The sequence below is a fragment of the Homo sapiens genome, chromosome 15, assembly GCF_000001405.40.
Source record: "Homo sapiens chromosome 15, GRCh38.p14 Primary Assembly".
Classification (NCBI taxonomy): domain Eukaryota; kingdom Metazoa; phylum Chordata; class Mammalia; order Primates; family Hominidae; genus Homo; species Homo sapiens.
In genome coordinates, this window is record NC_000015.10 from 20,963,630 (window position 1) to 20,983,162 (window position 19,533).

At 37.9% G+C, this 19,533-nt stretch overlaps 1 long non-coding RNA gene and 1 pseudogene across 1 annotated transcript in view; one reads left to right on the forward strand and one right to left on the reverse strand.

Annotated features, from left to right (window-relative positions):
* Positions 1-19,533, forward strand: part of LINC01193 (long intergenic non-protein coding RNA 1193) — a 52,867-nt gene that overhangs the window by 23,192 nt on the left and 10,142 nt on the right. Inside the window, exons 3-4 of the long non-coding RNA NR_040094.1 lie at positions 8,477-8,520; positions 18,194-18,351. This is a non-coding gene — a long non-coding RNA (long intergenic non-protein coding RNA 1193). The remainder of the gene's footprint in view (positions 1-8,476; positions 8,521-18,193; positions 18,352-19,533) is intronic.
* Positions 5,621-6,580, reverse strand: OR11J5P (olfactory receptor family 11 subfamily J member 5 pseudogene; annotated as a pseudogene).

The following is a 19,533-nucleotide window of genomic DNA, read 5'->3' on the forward strand; positions in this document are numbered from 1 at the left end:
TGCCAAATATTTACTCAAAATTGGTCTGCCTTTTGGGTATCTATTACAGCATTGTTTGTGCTATTTTTTACTTTCCTACCAGTTAGAATATAAGTTTCTTTAGGGCAGGAAATATGATCTTTTTACTGCTCCTGAATGGCTTCTGCAATAGTAATAGCTCAATTATTGAGTTAACAAGGTTATTCGACAAACATTTATTGAGCTCCTATTATGTATTAGGCATTATCTGAGCACTGAAGCTATAGCAGTGATACCTATTCCCATGCAGTTTATATTACAGTATGGGAAGACAGGGATCAAGAAATAGAGAAATAAATATGTAGGATACAATATTTCCTGTGGTGATACATTCTTTGAAGAAGGGCAAAGCAGATGATGGGAATAGATACTAGTGAGAGTGGGGATGCTCTTTTAAATAGAATAGTCTGGGAAGGCTTCATTTAAGCTAAATTTTGAGGAGACCTATAGGAAGTGAGGGAGTTCTGTCCTTCCTATTTCAAGTTTACGGTGAGCAGGAAAGCAAGGCAATCATCAAAATGAGTGTGGAAATGCTCTAACAAGTACACTTAGAGATCCAAATCCAAATGGTGGCTATTAAGAAAGGCAAGAAGTTTGGTTTAAAAATGTGCCTGAAGATGCACCATTGAAAAATGGCAGCAGTGTGCAGGGACAATGCCACCTAACCCGCGTTCAGAGCGAAGCCACCTGGTCGGCCACCGGCAGCTTGGGGAAGAAGGGCATGTGGCGCGCCCACTCCACCTTGCTGAAGAGCAGCCGTGAAATTTTTAATAATATTTTTATTTAACCCAACTCACCCAAAATAGTATTTCAACATGGAATTAGTATAAACACTATTAATGAGATGTTTACATTCTTTCATCCCACCAAGTGTTCAAAACTGGTATTTGATTTTATACTTGGAGCACATCTTAATTAGGACTAGTCACTTTGCAGGTGCTCAGTAACCACATGTGGGTCGTGGCTATTGTATTGGACAGTACAGGTTAAAGAGAGGTCTAAGGACTAAATACAGACCTCAAATAATATTGAGGTTAAACAAATACTAAATTGACTTTATTTTTCAGAATGAAGTTTCTTTGCCTGGAGAGAACAAGCATGCTCTTATTTCACGTATTTTCCTAATTGAAATCCTGATTTTGGCAGGGGAAAGAACCCACTGAGTGTGCTACATGTTGGAACTAGTGACCTTACACATCCATGCTCCATCTCCTGGGAAAGTCTTTCCTGAAGAATTGTATCTTCAGTCTGTTTGTCCTGATTTGTCCCAAACTGACAGAAGTACCTGCAGAGCTGGCTAAAATTTCCCTTTCAGACATTGCTGTTTAGGTGAGAGTACAGAGTGGTTGGGAGGGTCAATCAGTTGTAGAACAATACTTAGGTATAATCCAATTTATATACCCACTCAAAACCCAGAGATTTTGCTTCTATATGTACAGAAAGAGGACTTAGAAATACATCCACCAAACTAAACACGTTGCTGAGGAGGCATGTGTGTGTGTAGAGGTGTGGAGATGTGAAAATTTTCACTATTTTATAGTTTTTTTCTTTACAACGACTATTCACTATAAAATATATGATTTATTTGTATAATTAAAAAGTAGACAAAATGGAATACAATTCATTTCAGTGTAGCTAAGCAAGCCCCAGTTAGTAAAACTTTTATGTTTTTATGTACACATTTAGACTAAAAACATACTTTAAAATATTTCAATTTTATATATGAACATCTTTTTCAAGCACAATGAGAGCTTAGATACAAGTGAGGATTTTAGTTATTCAGTTAATTATGGTTCGTTGGCCCCCTCCCCCAAGTCTAAGAATTTTTGGCTTAAAGAGAAAGAGTAAGTGAAGAATCCTCTATATCCATTCTTCACTAGTTCTAAGAAAGATGAAAGGCAAGTGCACAACACTAAATCTCACTGCAGCTTACAGAGATTTTCCAGATGATAATTTATTTACCTTTAGTTTAACTTTTTCTCTCAGAACTCCAGATAATGCAGTAGTAACTTATAAGCAGCACAGTATCTTCTAACAGCATTCATCATGAGATAGACAAGTCCTCAACTACCCGAGACAGTGTTTTACCCCTTACTCATCCTGCTCCCCTTTCACTGCTGTTGCATAGGTGGATAATTTGATTTCCACCCTGTGTAATCTCTAGAGGAAACATAGCTCAGAGATATGGAATAGTCAAAATGAATGGGTTGTTTGAGTTATTTCTCTCTCTCTCTCGCTCTGTGTGTGTGTGTGTGTGTGTGTGTGTGTGTGTGTGTGTGTGTGTTTGCTGTCCAGTATCTCCATCCCTTTTTATGTTTGAGGTAATCCCAATATTATCAGGCTTGGAGCTTCTATTTATGTAATTGTTGTTTATATTGCCAGATATTAGCTCTCCTAGCTTCCCTTGCACTTAAAGTTGTAGGAATGTACTCTTGCCTTTACCAGATACAGCTATACCAGGCTTTGAATCAAGAAGCAGAAGTAGGAAGAGCAACAATGTTGAAATATTGGCATAAGAAATGACAATGAACAGGCTGGGCGCAGTGGCTCGCGCCTGTAATCCCAGCACTTTGGGAGGCCAAGGTGGGCGGATCACGAAGTCAAGAGACCAAGACCATCCTGGCTAACACGGCGAAACCCCGTCTCTAGTAAAAATACAAAAAAATTAGCCGGGCGTGGTGGCTGGCACCTGTAGTCCCAGCTACTCAGGAGGCTGAGGCAGGAGAAAGGTGTGAACTGGGAGGCGGAGCTTGCAGTGAGCCGAGATCGCACCGCTGCACTCCAGCCTGAGACGGAGCAAGACTCCGTCTCAATTAAAAAAAAAAAAAAAAGACAAGAAGGTAGCACACTTATTGCAGAAAAGACAAGTTCCTAGAACAGAATGACAGTGGTGCTCATGTAGCATCTTGGTGGCCTATAGCACAGCCATGACTGCAGTCATGATTTTTCATCATCAGTTCTGCATGGTGGTTTGCATATGTATCTTTGAATTTGAGCCTCAACTCTGGCTCTTTAGCTTTCATTGGTTCTGTGAGATTCCTGCTACTCCATCAATAAGTCCTTTTTCATTTACATAATCAGCTAGAGTCAGCTTTTATTGGATGTAAGTGAGAACACTGGCAGAATTATACTCTAATAGAGTTATCTCAGGTGGGTATAGTCTCTACAATCTGCAGAGGGCAAGAAGAACTAACGCTTTGGCATTGCAGGTTGCTCTGAATTCTCCCTTAGCTCCACAGTGGTCTATGAAGCTTTATCCCTTAACGTATTTTATTGAAGAAAATATTCCAAAAGTCAAAATAACTTGGAAGAGGATTTTAAGATGTCTGTGTGTGTCTGGATTTTTTTCACTTAGCATAATGTTCTACAGGTTCATCCACATCGTCACTAATGGAAGAATTTCTCTATTTTTTAAGGGCCAAATAGTATTCCACTGTGTGTATATATCACATTTTGTGTATCTACTCATCTGATGACAAATACCTAGGTTGCTTCCGTGTCTTGGTTATTGTGAATAATGCTGCAATGAATTTGGAAGTACAGATATCTCTTTGACATATTGATTTCAATTTCTTTGGATATATGCCCAGAAGGGAAATTGCTTAATCATATGGTAATTCTATTTTAAGTGTTTTGTGGAACTTCTATACTGTTTTCCACGGTTATATTAATTTACATTTCCACCAACAGTGCACAAATGTTTACTTTTCTCTGCACCCTCAGCAATACTTATCTTTCATCTTTTTGGTGATAGCCATTCTAACAGATATGAGGTGATACTTCATTCAGTTGAACTCTTAAAAGTAGAGAGTAGAATGGTGGTTAACTAAGGCTGGAGGGAAGAGGTGGCTGAGGGGAGGAGAGATGTTGATCAAAGGATACAACAATTCAGTTTGATGGAAGGAATAAGATTTAGTGATCTGTTTCATAGAATGTGACTATAATAAATAATAATGCACCACATATTTAGAAACTACTAAAAGCGTGGATTTCAAATGTTTTAACCACAAAAAATAAGTATAGGAGATGATGAATTTATTAATTAGCTTGATTTAATCATTTCACAATGTAAATGATTATCAAAACATCACATTGTATCCCATAAATATATAATTATCATGTGTTCATTAGAAATAAAATTTAACAAATAATAAAAGAGGTATATGTTCACAGAAAAAACTTGAATATGAAGTCTAATGTAGACTGGATGTTTTTAGTCAAATCATTAACTTTCTCTTCAACATATTGGAGACAACATCACAAACACCTCTCTTTCCTATCCCCCTAATTTTTGTGCCTTAGTTAAAAATATGAAAATTTCAGAGTGTTGGCAGGTGATCAGGTTAAGTAAAGAAGTTTATGTTAAGTGGTGACTTTTTTTAATTTTTTATTTATTTTTATTTATATGTATTTTTTATTATACTTTAAGTTCTAGGGTACATGTGCACAATGTGCAGGTTTGTTACATATGTATGCATGTGCCATGTTGGTGTGCTGCACCCATTAACTCGTCATTTACATTAGGTATATATCCTAAAGCTATCCCTCCCTCCTCTCCCCACCCCACAACAGGCCCCGGTGTGTGATGTTCCCCTTCCTGTGTCCAAGTGTTCTCATTGTTCAATTCCCACCTATGAGTGAGAACATGCGGTGTTTGTTTTTTTGTCCTTGAGATAGTTTGCTGAGAATGATGGTTTCCAGCTTCATCCATGTCCCTACAAAGGACATGAACTCAAACATTTTTTATGGCTGCATAGTATTCCATGGTGTATATGCACCACATTTTCTTAATCCAGGTGGTGACTGCTTTAAGGTAGCTTATATTTTGGTTGATAGAGTTGATTCCCTGGTATCCTATGTTTATTTTCTGTAACGGTAGATGTTTCTTCACTATAAGCTCAGAAAGTATAGAAGCCCAGGTTTGAGTAAGAAATATTTAATTATTTGGCATATTTGAATGTATGCATGCCCTTCTATGCATTCTCTTCAGAGCTGGAACAGGAATTTCCCTTAAGAATCTATACCATTTCTAGTTTTTATTTGCTGCGCACCATGAACACCTTACCAAGACTTAGTAATAAGGAAAATACAAATTAAAAAACATTCTTGTTTCAGTGACGGATTCTCGTTCTTTGATATTATAGATAAAGCAATTTAATTTTTGTGAGTACAGTGAGTAGATGCTGTTTTTCATTATAGAAAAACCTATAGTTGGCAAGGAAAAAACAGTTGATAAATTTAAAACACATTTAAGATGCATAAAGTTGCATTAGGATAAAGCCAAAATACAAATTAGAAACATGGGTCTTAGCTTTGTACATACCAACTGAATTACATATAGTTTTAGGACTTAAAAAATCTCCAAAATGGAAAAATGATACATAGATGAATAAAAATTGTACAGATCTTACCTACGATGAAACTTAGGACTTTGTATACTTTTTGCTTTGAGATAGGATCAGGGCTCTTTGTGTGTAATGAGTCACGCTTTTATGAGTAAGAAGCCAAGTGCTCAGACATCACCAGAAAATAGTTTTTTTTAAAATGAGAGAAATTTTGCATTTCTTATGGAATAATTGTAGAAGAATGTATATCATTTCAGTGTGTTCCAAGATATTTCTTTTGATGGCACTCCCAGCACTTTTTTAAGGGCATCTGTCATATCTTTGTTCCAGAGACTGTAGGTCAGGGGATTAAAGAATGGGGTTGCTGTGCAGTAAAACAATGTCACAAATTTCTGTGTCCCAGGGCGGCTCCTGGAGCCTGGACTCACATACATCACCATGACTGAGCCATAGAAGAAAGAAACAACCAAGAAATGGGAAGCACATGTAGAGAAAGCTTTGTTCCTGCCTGAGCCAGCTGGGACCCACAGAACAGCTCGCAAAACTAAGATATGGGACCCAAGAATGTAGAGGAAGGTGATGAAGATGATGAGAGAGCTTACTGTAGCACAAGTCAGAGTAGTTTTGGGAACTGGGGCACAGGACAGTGCCAGCAATGGTCCCAGGTTACAGAAAAAATGGTCAGTGATGTTAGGGCCACAGAAAGGCACTCGGGACATAAGCACTGCAGGCATCAGTATGGATAGAAAACCACCTGCCCTGCAGAAGGCCACTAATCAGACACACAGGTGGTGAGTCATGACTGTGGGATAATGCAAAGGTCGACAGATGGTAAGGAACCGATCAAAGGACATCACAGACAGAAAGTAGCCTTCTGCAGCACACATGGAGAAGTAGAAGAACTGGAGCAGGCAGCCAGCATAGGAGATGCTCTTGATATGGGAGATGAGATTGGCCAACATTTTGGGACATCAGAACTAATGCAGCAGATCTCCAGGAAAGAGAAATTAGCCAAGAGGATGTACATAGGTGTGTGGAGTTTCTGGCTTGACCACACAGCGCAGATGATGGATGTGTTACCCATGAGGGTCAGAAGGTAGATGAGGGAGAAGACCACAAAGAGGAGGATCTTGGTCTCCCTGCAGCAGGCAGGGGAAGCCCAGGAGGATAAATTCACTCACAGGCCCAGAAATGTTATTGGCTTCTACGACACTCATTCTTCTAATCTATGAAGGAAATGAACGATAGGGACCACTACAATAGCCATTTTCTCTCTCTTAAAGTGTTATATTTATTTCTTTTGACTCCAAGACAATCTTTTAATGCACTTTTGTGAAAAGTTCCATATAGTTCTCAATTCAATAACTCACCTCCCATCTTTGTCTTAGTTCAATGAAATCAGGGTTATGGGAGAATGTGGCTCAACATGTTACTACGTGATCCCACAGCCTCCACTATATCATATCTCTGTTTTTCAGAGTGTAAGTTTCATTGACATCACATAACATAGGGTCCAAACGACTTTCTCTATTTGCATTTAAATTAATTCTGCTTTGATGTAATGTTTTGTAATACACATATTCAAATATTTATACATATAATTTCTCCCTATTAGAAAATTTTGTATTGTATTTTGAAAAATTCTAAGAAAAATCAGTTTAAACATAATCTAAAATTGAATTAGGTCAGTACAAAAAGAGAACCTCATTATGTTGTCAATAAATTATGTTTTTAGGAGATCTGTCCTGGATAGTTCTGTTGACTGAAGTAGGGTACTGAGGATGCTGCCACAGATTTCATGCTAGCACGTGTTTGTTTGCTCCGTATAGTGGCATTTAACTTCTATTTGCTGAGCAACAGCTAATTTGACACAGAAAAGTTGCCTTCAACCCTTTACTAGGAAGATCTTGCTCTATGATAGAAAAACAGCAAGAGGCAGATGGAAAAACATCTATTTCCTTAGCTCAGATGCCTTCTCATCTTGTTACTATACTGGTGATGAATTATCTTATATTAAAAAATAAACCATAAATTTAACTTTAAAAATGTGAGAGGAATACACCAGTGTAGAATGTTAGTGTCAGAAAGGACCTCTAGTCTTATTAAGCTCAATTTCCTCGTATCACAGAAACTGAGACCAGAGAGGTTAGAATGATCCAAAGTTATGTTGGCTGTTAGAAGAAAGAGGCCTAAAACTTAGGTGTTCATATATTCAGTTCAGACTTTTTCTCATAAGCCTCTGCTATTGTGGGACCCTGCTTTTTTTGTCAGCTCAGATGGTTGCAAAAGTATATTGTGTATGTATTATACTGTTCCTTCCTTTGAATTAGATCCCTATTTATAATAAAGGAGGACATTAACCAGGTTACTAACCAAAGCTGACAATTGCTACATCATATCCCCTATTCACCTTTGACCTGCCCTTTGCCCTAATTCTTGGCACCATTTATGGCATAAATCTACTTTTGGACACTTTCTTTAAAGAACATTTGACTTCTAAGATAGTAAGCATAACAACAACCACTGTCATGTATTAAATGTTTATTGTGACAGTTACATAATGTTCATTATCTCATTAAATCCTCCTCCCCTCTCCTCTCCAGTTTTAGAGTAGAAAAACACTCTCACATGTTTAAATGTACCATTTGAATTCTATTGTGCTTCTAAATACATTGAATCTAAAATTCAAGTTTTTATTCTGTCCAGCTTTCAGCTATGTATATAATGTGCTAGCTGTTTTCTCTCATTGCATCTGATTCCATTTGTTCACATGTAACTTGCTTCTATCTAATTTTTGCTTGTGAATTTGAAAGATTTGCCTCTGGACATCTGTGTTAGGAACTGAGGTTATATATCATAGGAAAATATTATTTACATATTTCTTATAGATTATGTAGTTTACATTAGATACATCACCTGAGGCCAGGTTTGTGTCCTTCCCTTCCATGCAGCGAGTCCTCCAGGCCCCAGGTAGGTCTAGAGGTGTTTTCTGGTACCCAGGGACTGGAGTCAAAAACCTTAGACGTCTACCTGGTGTTCTATTATACTGCAACTGAGCTGGCCCTCAAGCCACAAGACACAGCCCTTCCCACTCTTCCCTCTTCCTTCCACAGGCAGAGGAGAATGACCCTGTGGCCACCACCATCACAGGCCTATGGTGAGTAACTGCCACACTCCCACCTGTGTGTACTTAAGGCCCAGAGGCTCTTCAGTCAGCTTGTGGTGAATGCTGCTATGCCTGGGAATCACCTTTCATGGACATGGGCTCCCCTCTGGCCCAGAGAAGCTCCAGAAATGCCATAAAAGAGCCATGGGCTAGAATAGGGAACCTCAAGAGCCCCCTTGATGCACTATGCCCATTTGACTGTGCTGGTACTTAAGGTACAAGACAAAGTCCCCTTGACCTTTCTCTTTGCTTCTCTCAAGCAGAAGGAGTCTGTCACTGTAGTCACCACAGCTGGGAATGTGCTAGGTCTCACCTGAAGCTAGTATGTCTTGAGTCTCACCCAAGGCATATGGCATACTATTTGGGTGTTGCTTCTCATTATTCAGGGCCCAAGGGCTCTTTAGTCAATAGGTGATGGGTCTTGCCAGGACTGGTTCTTTCCTTCAAGGCAGCAGGTTCCCTTCTAGCCCAGGGTGTGTCTAGAAATGTCATCTCGGAGCTAGGGCCTGGAATGGTGCCTCATGACGGACCAATATTCTTTCTTACTGTAATGAGCTGGGATCTAAGATGCAAGACAAAGATCATCTTTACTCTTCGCTTTCTTTTATTCAAGCAGAAGTAAAGGATCTCTTTTGGAGCCACGAGCTGTGCTGCTGGGGTTAGGGGAGGTGTGGGCAAGGACTCTCTTAGCTGCCCCAGCTGTTGTTTCAGTAAGTCATGTGTTCCCAAGTCCATTGGCTCCAAGCCCAGCTCAGCACCAGGACTTGCTGTCCTTGTGGCCTAGACTGCCTGTCAAATTTATTTAGGACCCTAGAGTACGCCAGCTCATGGCGGCAAGGCTTGCCAGAACTCAAGCTCCATCTGCTGGAGTGGGCAAATTGCCCTCTGGCTGGACCTTGTCTAAAGGCTCCCTCTGTGGGTCTGTGTCAGCTGAGTTCAGCACAGTTTTGCTTTCCACTGTGATAGGGCAGCACTGAGTTCAATGCAAAGTCTCACGATTGCTGCACTTTCCCTCTCCCAAACACACATTTCTCTGTGCCATGTGGCTGCTGTAGTGGGGATGAGGGAGAGTTGGCATCAACAATTCACGGCTCTCTTTCTGACTCTCTTTAGTGCCTCTTTCAATGATACGGAGATAAAACCAGGTATTGTGAGTGCTCATATTATTTTTGGTTCTTATGAAGGTGCTGTGTTTGTGTAGACAGTTGGTACATTTGGTGTTCCTGTGGGAGGACAATTGATGGAGCCTTCTATTCCACCATTTTGCTCCAGCCACTTCCAAATGCTTTTTCTTTTTCTTATTTATTTATTTTTGAGATGGAGTCTCACTCTGTCACGAGGCTGGAGTGCAGTGGTGCAATCTCCGCTCACTGCATCCTCCACCTCCCAGGTTCAAGCAATTCTCTTGCCTTAGCCTCCTGAGTAGCTGGGGTTACAGGTGCACACCACCACACCCAGCCAATTTTTGTATTTTTATTAGACATGGCGTTTCACCATGTTGGCCAGGATGGTCTCGATCTCTTGACATCGTGATCTGCCCACTTTGGCCTCCCAAAGTGCTGAGATTACAGGCGTGAACCACTGCACCCGGCCCCAAATGCTTTTTCTGAATCTATGGAGATTATATGTTTTTAGTATTTTTGTTAATGTGGTGTACTACATTTATTGATTTGCATATGTTGAATCATCCCTGCATCTCAAGGATAAATCTCTCTTGATCATGAGGTGTGATACTTTTAATGTGCTGTTGAATTCTGTTTGTGAGTATTTAAGTTTGTTGAGAATTTTTGCATCTTTATTCATCAAGAATATTGACCTGTAATTTTCTTATCTTATAAAGTCTTTGGCTTTGATATCACAGAAATACTAGCCTCATTTAATGAGTTTGGAAATGTGGTTTTTCTTCAATAATTTGGAAGAGTATATAAAGAACTGGTATTTTTAAAAAATGTTTGGTGGCATTTATTAACAAAGCCATCTCTTCCTGAGCTTCTTTGCTGAGAGGTTTTTAATCAGTTTTTTATTGGTGATGCAATCTTCTTATTCACTATTGGTCTGTTTAAATTTTTGGTTTCTTCATGATTCAGTCATAGTAGGGTGTATATTTCCAGAAATTTATCATTTCTTCTTGGCCTTCCAATTTATTGTCAAATAATTGTTTATAGTAATCCCTTATGATCATTTGTATTTTTATGGCATGAGTTGTATTGTTTCTTCTTTCATTTCTGATTTTATTTATTTGAGTCTTCTCTATTTTTTCTTGGTTAGTCTAGCTAAGATTTGCCAACATTATTTTATATTTCATCGATTATTTCTATTGTTTTCCTATTCTGTATTTGATTTATTTAATTTCTGTTCTAATCTCTGTTATTTAATTCCTTTGGTAAATTTGGGCTTAATTTGTTCCTTTTTACTTCCTTGAAGTTTAAAGTAAGGTGGGTTTGTTTTTGGACATTTTTCTTATGTTTAGAGTAGATGTTTATTGCTATACTGCCTCAATACCACTTTAGCTGCATCCATAAGTTTTGTTATTTTGCGTTTTTGGTCTTTTTTTATAGGTAGATACATTCTAATTTCCCTCGATATCTTTTTGACATAATGGTTTTTCAAGAGTGTATTGATTTCCACATATTTGTGAATTTTCTAGTTTTGCTTGTTATTGATTTTAGTTTTATATCATTATAGATAGAAAAGATACTTTTCCTACTTACATAATTTCTATATTCTTAAATTTACTTGTGCTTGTTATGTGGCCTAACAGATGACCTATCCTGAAAAATGTTATATAGTCACTTGAGAAGAATGTGTATTCTGCTGTCACTGGATAGTTCTGTACATGTCTATGAGGTCCTTTTGTTTTATAGGATGTTTAAGATTGCTATTTCCCTACTGGTTTTCTGCTAGAGATTCATTCCCATTATTGAAAGTGGCGTAATGTTGTGTCTCATTGTTATTTTATTGCTGTCTATTTCTCCCTTCAAATCTGTCAATGTTTGCCTTATATATAGTTAGGTACTCTGATCTTGGGTGCCTATACATTTATAGTTGTTCTAACATCCTGATAATTGACCTTTTTATCATTATATAATGACCTTTTTTATTTCATGTGACTGTTTTTAACCTAAAGTCTATTTGGCCTGGTATAAATTTAGCCACTCCTGCTGTCTTTTCGTTATGATTTGCATGGAATATTTTTTTCCCTCCCTTCACTTTCAGCCTTTGGGCATCCTTGAATCTATAGTCTCTTGTTGACAGCCTATAGTTTGATTTTATTTTTTAATGCATTTGGACGTTCTTTGTCTTTTGACTGGGGAATTTTTAATCCATTTACAGTCAGCTGGATGTAGGTTCCACATCCACAGAGTCAACCAACCATGCATAAAAAAAATCACACACCCCCATAAAAATAACAATGATAAAAAATGGAATAATAAAAGTAATGCAAACTAGATGGTGTAACAGGTATTTATATACTGTTTACATTCTATTAGATATGATAAGTAATCTAGAGAAGGTTTAAAGTATAGGGGATGGTGTGCATGGGTTATATGCAAATACTATATCACTTAATATAAAGGACTTTAGCATCCATAAATTTTGGTATCCACAGGCGATCTTGAAACCCATCTTTCATGGATACTGTGGGACAACTGTATTTACAAAGTTGTATTAATAAGTAAGGACTTGCTATGGCACTTCATTTTATTTTTTCTGTCTGTGTTATAATTCTTCTTTCTTTTTTCTCTTGCTGTTTTCTTTTGTGTTCATTGATATTTTTGTATTGATATGTATTTATTTCCTTTTTCTTTTGTATATTTTCTGTAGTATTTTATTTTTTTGGTTACCTTGGGGCTTATGTAAAACATCATATATATGGAGGCAAAGTTTATTCTAAGCTAATAACAACTCAACTTTAATCACATAAAAAATTCTGCACTTCTCCCACTTTGTTATTGATGTCACAATTACATCTTTTATATGTGTATATCTACTATTATACTTCTGTAGTTATAGTAATTTCTACTTTGTTGTCTTTTGACTTTCATATTAGAAAAAGGTGCACCACCATTACAATGTTGCACAATTTTGTATTTGTTTAAATAATTAGCTTTTCCAGTAAGTTTTATATTTTAATATGCTTAGTTATGCTTAGTTTTGCTATTTAGTATTATTTTGTTTGAGTTAAAGAGCTCACCTGTCATTTATTTTATGACAAATCTAGTGGTGATGAAGTTGTTTCTCTCAGCTTTTGCTTGAGAAAGTCTTTATCTATTCTTCATTTTTGAAGAAATTTTTTTTCCAGAAATTGCATTCTTGGTTGAGAATTTCTCTCTTTCAGCATTGTCTTGCTTCTTCAAAATTCACTCTTTTTGACTTTTGACATATAATTATAATATGTCTTTGTGTGGACTTCCCTTGAATTTGTTTTATTTCAGTTGCATTTGGCCTCATGTATCTGTATGTCCTTTTTCTTCTACAGATTTGGCAAGCTTTTAGCCAGCACTGTACTTTCCTTCTTATTTTTCTCTTCTCCATCTGGAACTTTTGTGATCAGTATATTATTTCACTTTATGATGTACCTTAAGTCCGTAGGTTCATTGGCTCTTTTTTATTCTTTTTTCTTTTGCTCCTTTGTCTATGTAATTTGAAATGACTGGTGTCTGGATTAGCTGATTCCTTCTTCTGTTTGATCAAGTCTACTTGTGAACACCCCCTAGTGATTTTTTTTATTTCCGTCATAGAATTCTTAGCTCCAGAATTTCTAATTGTTTCTTCTTGTAAAATTTCTATATCTTTACTTCAATATTTTTATCTTGCTCATCTATCATTGTTGTGATTTCATTTAATTGTGTCTCAGTGTTCTCTTGTGGCATGCTGAATTATCATGGAGCCCCAGAGCTCTCCTTTCCTCATGTGTGCTGCTTCTTTCATATGTGATAACTATAATGAACTTTAACAAATCTCAAATTCGAGTACATTCCCAATCACCTTCTAAAAGTAACCTCCTAACCTCCACTGATTCCTCAGATGTGGTAGTTTGAAAGTTGTTCCCATAGATTTCAACTACAGGCCAACCAGAGGGGACCCATGGCCACTAGAATGGTCCAGTGACCTTTATACTTCAGTGTGTGTAAGAATCACCTGGGATCCTATTTAACATTCAAGTTTCTGAGCCTTCCCCTAGCCAGTAGATTTTATATACAAAATGTGAGGGAACCATTACCCTTTTCAAGTGATTAAAAAAAAATCAGAGGTGAAGCAATTAGATTTGGCTACATTTAATTTGATGTTTTATCTTTCAAGAGATTGGGATGGTTCTAGTGAAAATTATAGCTAATCTGAATACGGCTTCTAACTGTTACTGGGTGTTTATGTCATTTCTTTACTCTGATCAACAATATTGGGCAGGTGTAGTGGCTCACGCCCATAATCTCAGCACTTTGAGAAGCCAAGGCGGGAGGTTCACTTGAGCCCAGGAGTTTGAGACCAGCCTGGACAACCTGGGGAGACCTCCATCTCTGCAAAATAAAACAAACAAACAGACAGACATAAAAACACCTAGCTGGGCGTGTTGGTATACACCTTTGGTCCCAGCTACTTGGGAAGCTGAGGTAGGAGGATTGCTTGAGCCACAAGGTCAATGCTCCAGTGAGCCGTGATTGTGTCACTGCACTCTAGCCTGGAAAACAGAGCAAGACCCTGTCTCAAAAAACAAACAGCATACGTCTTATTGTTTTGTTCGCTTATTTCTGAAATAATCTCGTTAGTAAAGCACTATACTTGATAAACAGTCTGATTTAATGAATAAGGATTTAAACTTTAGATTTTGGAGAGACAAGATTAACTAACCGTTGATCACAAGGAGCACACTGTGCAACAAGCTACTCTGATAGGACAAAAGTCCTAGGAGGGCTATATAAGCAAAATCTCACTCAAGGACTGAACTTTAAGCCCTATTCACTTTTAGCTAATCAAGTGATGGGCAAGTTGACATCTATAGGGAAGAGAGAAGAGGATGTGTTTCTGAGCTTTCCTTCTTCAGTCAGGCAACTCTGTGATTCATTAATTTCCTCCCTTCCTCCTCCACACCCTGGCATGTTGGCCCATAGCCACAAGGTGGCAGGATAACCAGTAACATTTTATTCAAGCCAACTGAAGCCCTGCGGGGGCTTTGAAGTTCACACACACTGTCCACCTTCCACATACTGATGCTGGGAGCAATTTAGAGCAAACATCATCCAGAGTCATATTACTAGATGACTGGATTGCTTCTTTTGTCCCTCAATCCTGCTCTCCTTTCAGTGCTAACTCAAGGAAACACTAAGTTTACACTTTGCAGGAGCCCCTGGAATAGTTAAAGCTTTAAACCATTTCACATCCAACTCAATGATCTGTTACAAAAAATACCTGTTGATTTTCTGTCATTTTAATGGATACCTAGCTTCCTTTTATAAATTGGCATTACAATAGTCTGGTATTAGTATTGATCTGGAATCTATGTGCTTCCAGATCAGTCCCATTCCTTTTACTTTTAGAATAAGACAAAATGTAGCTCAGACACCATTCTTCCATGAAACCACATCTCTCTAAGAAGATGCTGGAAAGTCAGTCTTTCTCAAAAAGTAGTTTTCCCCTCAAGTTTCAACACATTACTCCACTGTAAGTTTAGACAGTATAAATATGTATAAAATATATATATATAATATATATATATTTTAGTATAATATTATGCTTCAGCTTTTCCTGCATGTTTTTCTTTCTTTTCTCTTACACCCTTCTCTGTGATCTCATCTGACAATCACTACCATGGCAACCAAGCCTCTGTGACGTTCCAGCAAGCTCATTGTCTTCTCTTCACTAAACTTTAGTTAGTAGTTGGTCCCAGTCAGTAACACTCTGGGAGGGCTCAGGCCACATCACGAAATGTGACAGGATAGCCTTGAACTCATCAATTGCTGGGTAAGAAAGAATTTTAATGCAATGGCAAACAACCAATCAAACAAGCAAACAAAAACAATAAACCCTTCCTTGAGGACCAAGAAGACATTGATTAGCTAACCTAAGAGCTCCAGGTGGAGACCTAGGTCCTGATTGGGTTTCTGAATTTGACCACTAGGCAGAAAACTAGCACCCAAAACCAGTTGGAATAAAATTACCCACCTACAGTGGAGCCAAGGCCCCCAGATCCTTTTTGTCAGGTAAGAATAGGTTGAAATAACCTGGCTGGTTGTGGGACAGGCCCCCTCTGTGAGTGGTGCAGTTAAGGACACCCAGACTGCCCTTTCACTCTGCTTTCCCTGGGGTAATGTGTATGGCTCCTAGTCTTTCACGTTCTCTTCTGTAATTCGGGAGGAGGAAGAGAAGATACTCACTGCACATATTGTGTCAGTTAATACTAATCTGAGAGCAATAATTTACGATCTTTTGAGGTGAGGTTTGATTTTTACCACTGTGCTGTTCCTGTCTCCTAATATGTTGTATCAGATTGTAACTAAGTTGAGGTGAGAATTAATTGAGGACTATATATTTGAGCCTCCTTAGAATCTCACCCACCTTTGAGATAACTTCATGTTTTAGGTTTTCTCAAGTCAGAGTGTTGAGTCCTTAAATCAGTATATGCTGGGCAGTGAAAAAACACTGGTACACTTTGATTGCCTAAGCTTAGTGAACAGCAGGGGCGGTGGGAGGCAGGCCTTTTTAACACCTGTCTTTGCTGAGTTTCATGCTGAAAAAGCCTTGAGGCTCAGACTCAGCCCACAGGTCTCTGCAGTCCCTCCATCTCCCTTCTGCCCTTTCCATGCATAGCCTTCACAGCAGTTTTTTGTGAATTATTTATTTTTTTGAGCTCTCTCTTAAGGTTAATTTTTCTTAAGAAGTATTTACTCTCAATATTATAAAGGTGTAGAAGTTTATTGTAGAGAAATGTGGGAAAACATATTGGCAAAAAGAATATAAGGATAAAACCATTTAAGGTTTCCCCTTCCATCTATACTTATATTTATAGTTGGGCTCTAATGGCATTTAAATGCAAAATGTAATATACATGTTTATTTATATTTTTAAAATATTAATAATTGATTAGTTAATTCAACAATAATAATTGTTAACATTCCAGACACTACTATAAATACTCATGAATACAGCAGTGAACAAAATGGATAAAAATTCCTGACTTGTGGAAGTTATATTGTAATGGGGGAAGACGGGGTAAATAAACTATGTGGCATGCTTGGGGGGCGATGAGTAAAGATGGAGAAAAATTAGAAGGTTCAGGTCAATAGGAAGTGTGTGTTGGAGGTGACAGGTGGCAGGTGTACATTTTTCCCTCAGCTTAATTAAGGTTTAATTTGAAAACATTGTATATATTTATGGTATACAAGGTGATATTTTGATATATGTGTACATTGCAAAATGATTAAATCAAACTGATTAACATATCTGTCACCTCACATGCTTGCCATTTTATTGTTGTGAGAACATTTAAGATCAACTCTCTTAGCAATTTTCAAGTATTCTTTTGGCCCTTAGTATCTGTGGTTCTGCATCTGCAGATTCAATCAATCACAGATGGAAAATATTTAGAAAAAAATAAAAATAACAATATGACAAAAAATAATTCAAATATATAGTATAACAACTATTTACGTAGCATTTACATTGTCTTAGCTACTATAAGAAATGTAGACATTATTTAAACTACATGGAAGGATGTGTGTAAGTTATATGCAAATACTGCACCATTTTATATGAGGCGGTTGAGCATCTGCTGATTTTGTTGTCTCCAGGGTGAGCTGGAACTAGTCTCCCCTAGATATAAAGAGACAACTGAACAATATGTTATTATTAATTACAGTCACCATGCTATACAGTACATCTCCAGATCTTATTGATCTTGTTTAGCTGAGACTTTGAACCCTTTAACCAATATCTCCCCATCCCCACTGGGTGTAATTTTCAATAGCTAGTCAGGGAAGGCCTCACTGAGAAGGTGATATTTGAGAAAAGACTTGAAGGAAGTGTTGGGGCAAGAAATATAAATATCTAGCAAAAGAGCATTACAGGCAGAGGAGATGGTATGTATAGGCGCCACAAGGCAGGGGGATGGCTGGCATGCTTAACACACAGCAAGAAAGCCTCATCTCTTCTTCATGCCTGCCTCACATTCAATATATTTAAATATGGTTCCTTCCCCATCATAACCCTGCAATGGCCATTGCAGAAATCACCAATAACATTCATGTGTCTAAGTCTTATGGACATTTTTTTTTCAAGATGTATCTCTTCTCAGCAGAATTCAGCACTGCTGTTCCAACACATTTTTCCTTTGTGGCTTCAGTGTCAACTCTATTCTACTTTGCCTCCTGATTGCCCAGAAAACTCCCACATTTCTGGCTACAACTCCTCTATTTGATTTGTGGGCTTCTTTTCCTTTATTTGGCCATTAAATTCTGAAGCTCTGTGAGGCTGAGTTCCAGGCCTTCACATCTTTCAATGCTATACTATTGTCTAGGTCATTTTCTTCTCCAAAGCTTTGGTTATTACTTATTTGCCAATGAGTATATCAAATTGTTAATACAAATTGCATCCTCAGAGTTCCAGATGACAACTGCTACATGGTATTAATATTTGACTGCTGGATGATAGTTTTACTTGAATGTTTCAGGGGCACCTCAAACTCAACTCCAAAATTGATCTAATGAACTTTCCCAAACCACATTCCCTTCTTGCATTTCTGAGAGAATGGATTCCCATTCATCTGACTACAGTGCTACCCTGAAAGCAGATCCAGAGACTAAGATTCACCTGCAGGTGATTCATTTGGTAGGTATCATAATCTCTGGTAGGAGAACTGGGAAGTGGGGCAAAGACCCTTATAAAGAGTGAACTATGAAGCAGTTACCAGAATGGATAACTGTGGATTAAACTTGGAATAACTCTGAGATCCAGTGTAGATAACTCATCTCAGAAACATGCTGAGAGATAAAGGGTATTCGTACAACAGTTTCTGATAGTCATTAGTTATGGACTGTCTCCTAGCGGCATTGATTCCTCAGCATGCCCAACCTGCAGCAGGGACAGCAAAAGCGGCTTCTGTGATCAGAGAAAGCCCTCAGGTAAGGAAATGCAGGGGTGAATGCTGGAAGTCAGGCTGGCATGCACTGAAGTATTAGGGTGAGGCGCCATGGCAAGGTATCTGACCATCTTTCTAACCGTTCACCTCCATTTCCAATCTTTAAATACATTTTACTTCCCAAATATGTAATAATATGCATTTCCTTCAATTTCTACCACCACCTCTACTGACTGCCTCCATCTTTTTCAAATATACTTGCCTCATTCAGCACATTCACATTGTGCAACCACCACCTCTTTTGAGCTCCAAAACACTGCCATCACCCCATAGAAAACCCCAGTCCTCTTCCCCTCCATCCATGGCCGCCACCTGGAGTGTGTTTGGCCCATGGAGGACACTGCACATTGTTGGTGGGCATGATTAAATAGTTGCTGCTTTTCTGCAGTCATCACTGTATTTTGAGTGAAAGTTTCATAATTTTCAGTGTTTTATCTGGGTTGATAGGATCCAATTTTAGTTTTTGAGTTTCTTTTTTGAGCAACTATAACAATTTTAAGGATTAACATGTCATGACATTTATTCTTTACTAGAGGTCTTCCAAAGAACAAAGATAAATTTACTTATTTTAAAAACAGAATAAAATTCATCCTGTCTTGCAAAAATACACAAAAATACAAAAACAAATATACTTGCCTCATAATTAGTTTCACATTTACCCTTGTCCTTCTCTAAACTCTTCACTACCGTGGCCACAGTTACTGTTTCAAAAAGGGAGATGAAATCATGTCATATTCTATTCTCTGTGCCTGAAATCCACTTTTCACCCTCATCTCCCTTTATTTAAAGTATGTTATTCATTTTTCTAGGGTCTCAACTCAAGCATTCCTTTCTCAAGAAGCCTTTTATGGTATGAAGAGTGAGACAGAGTT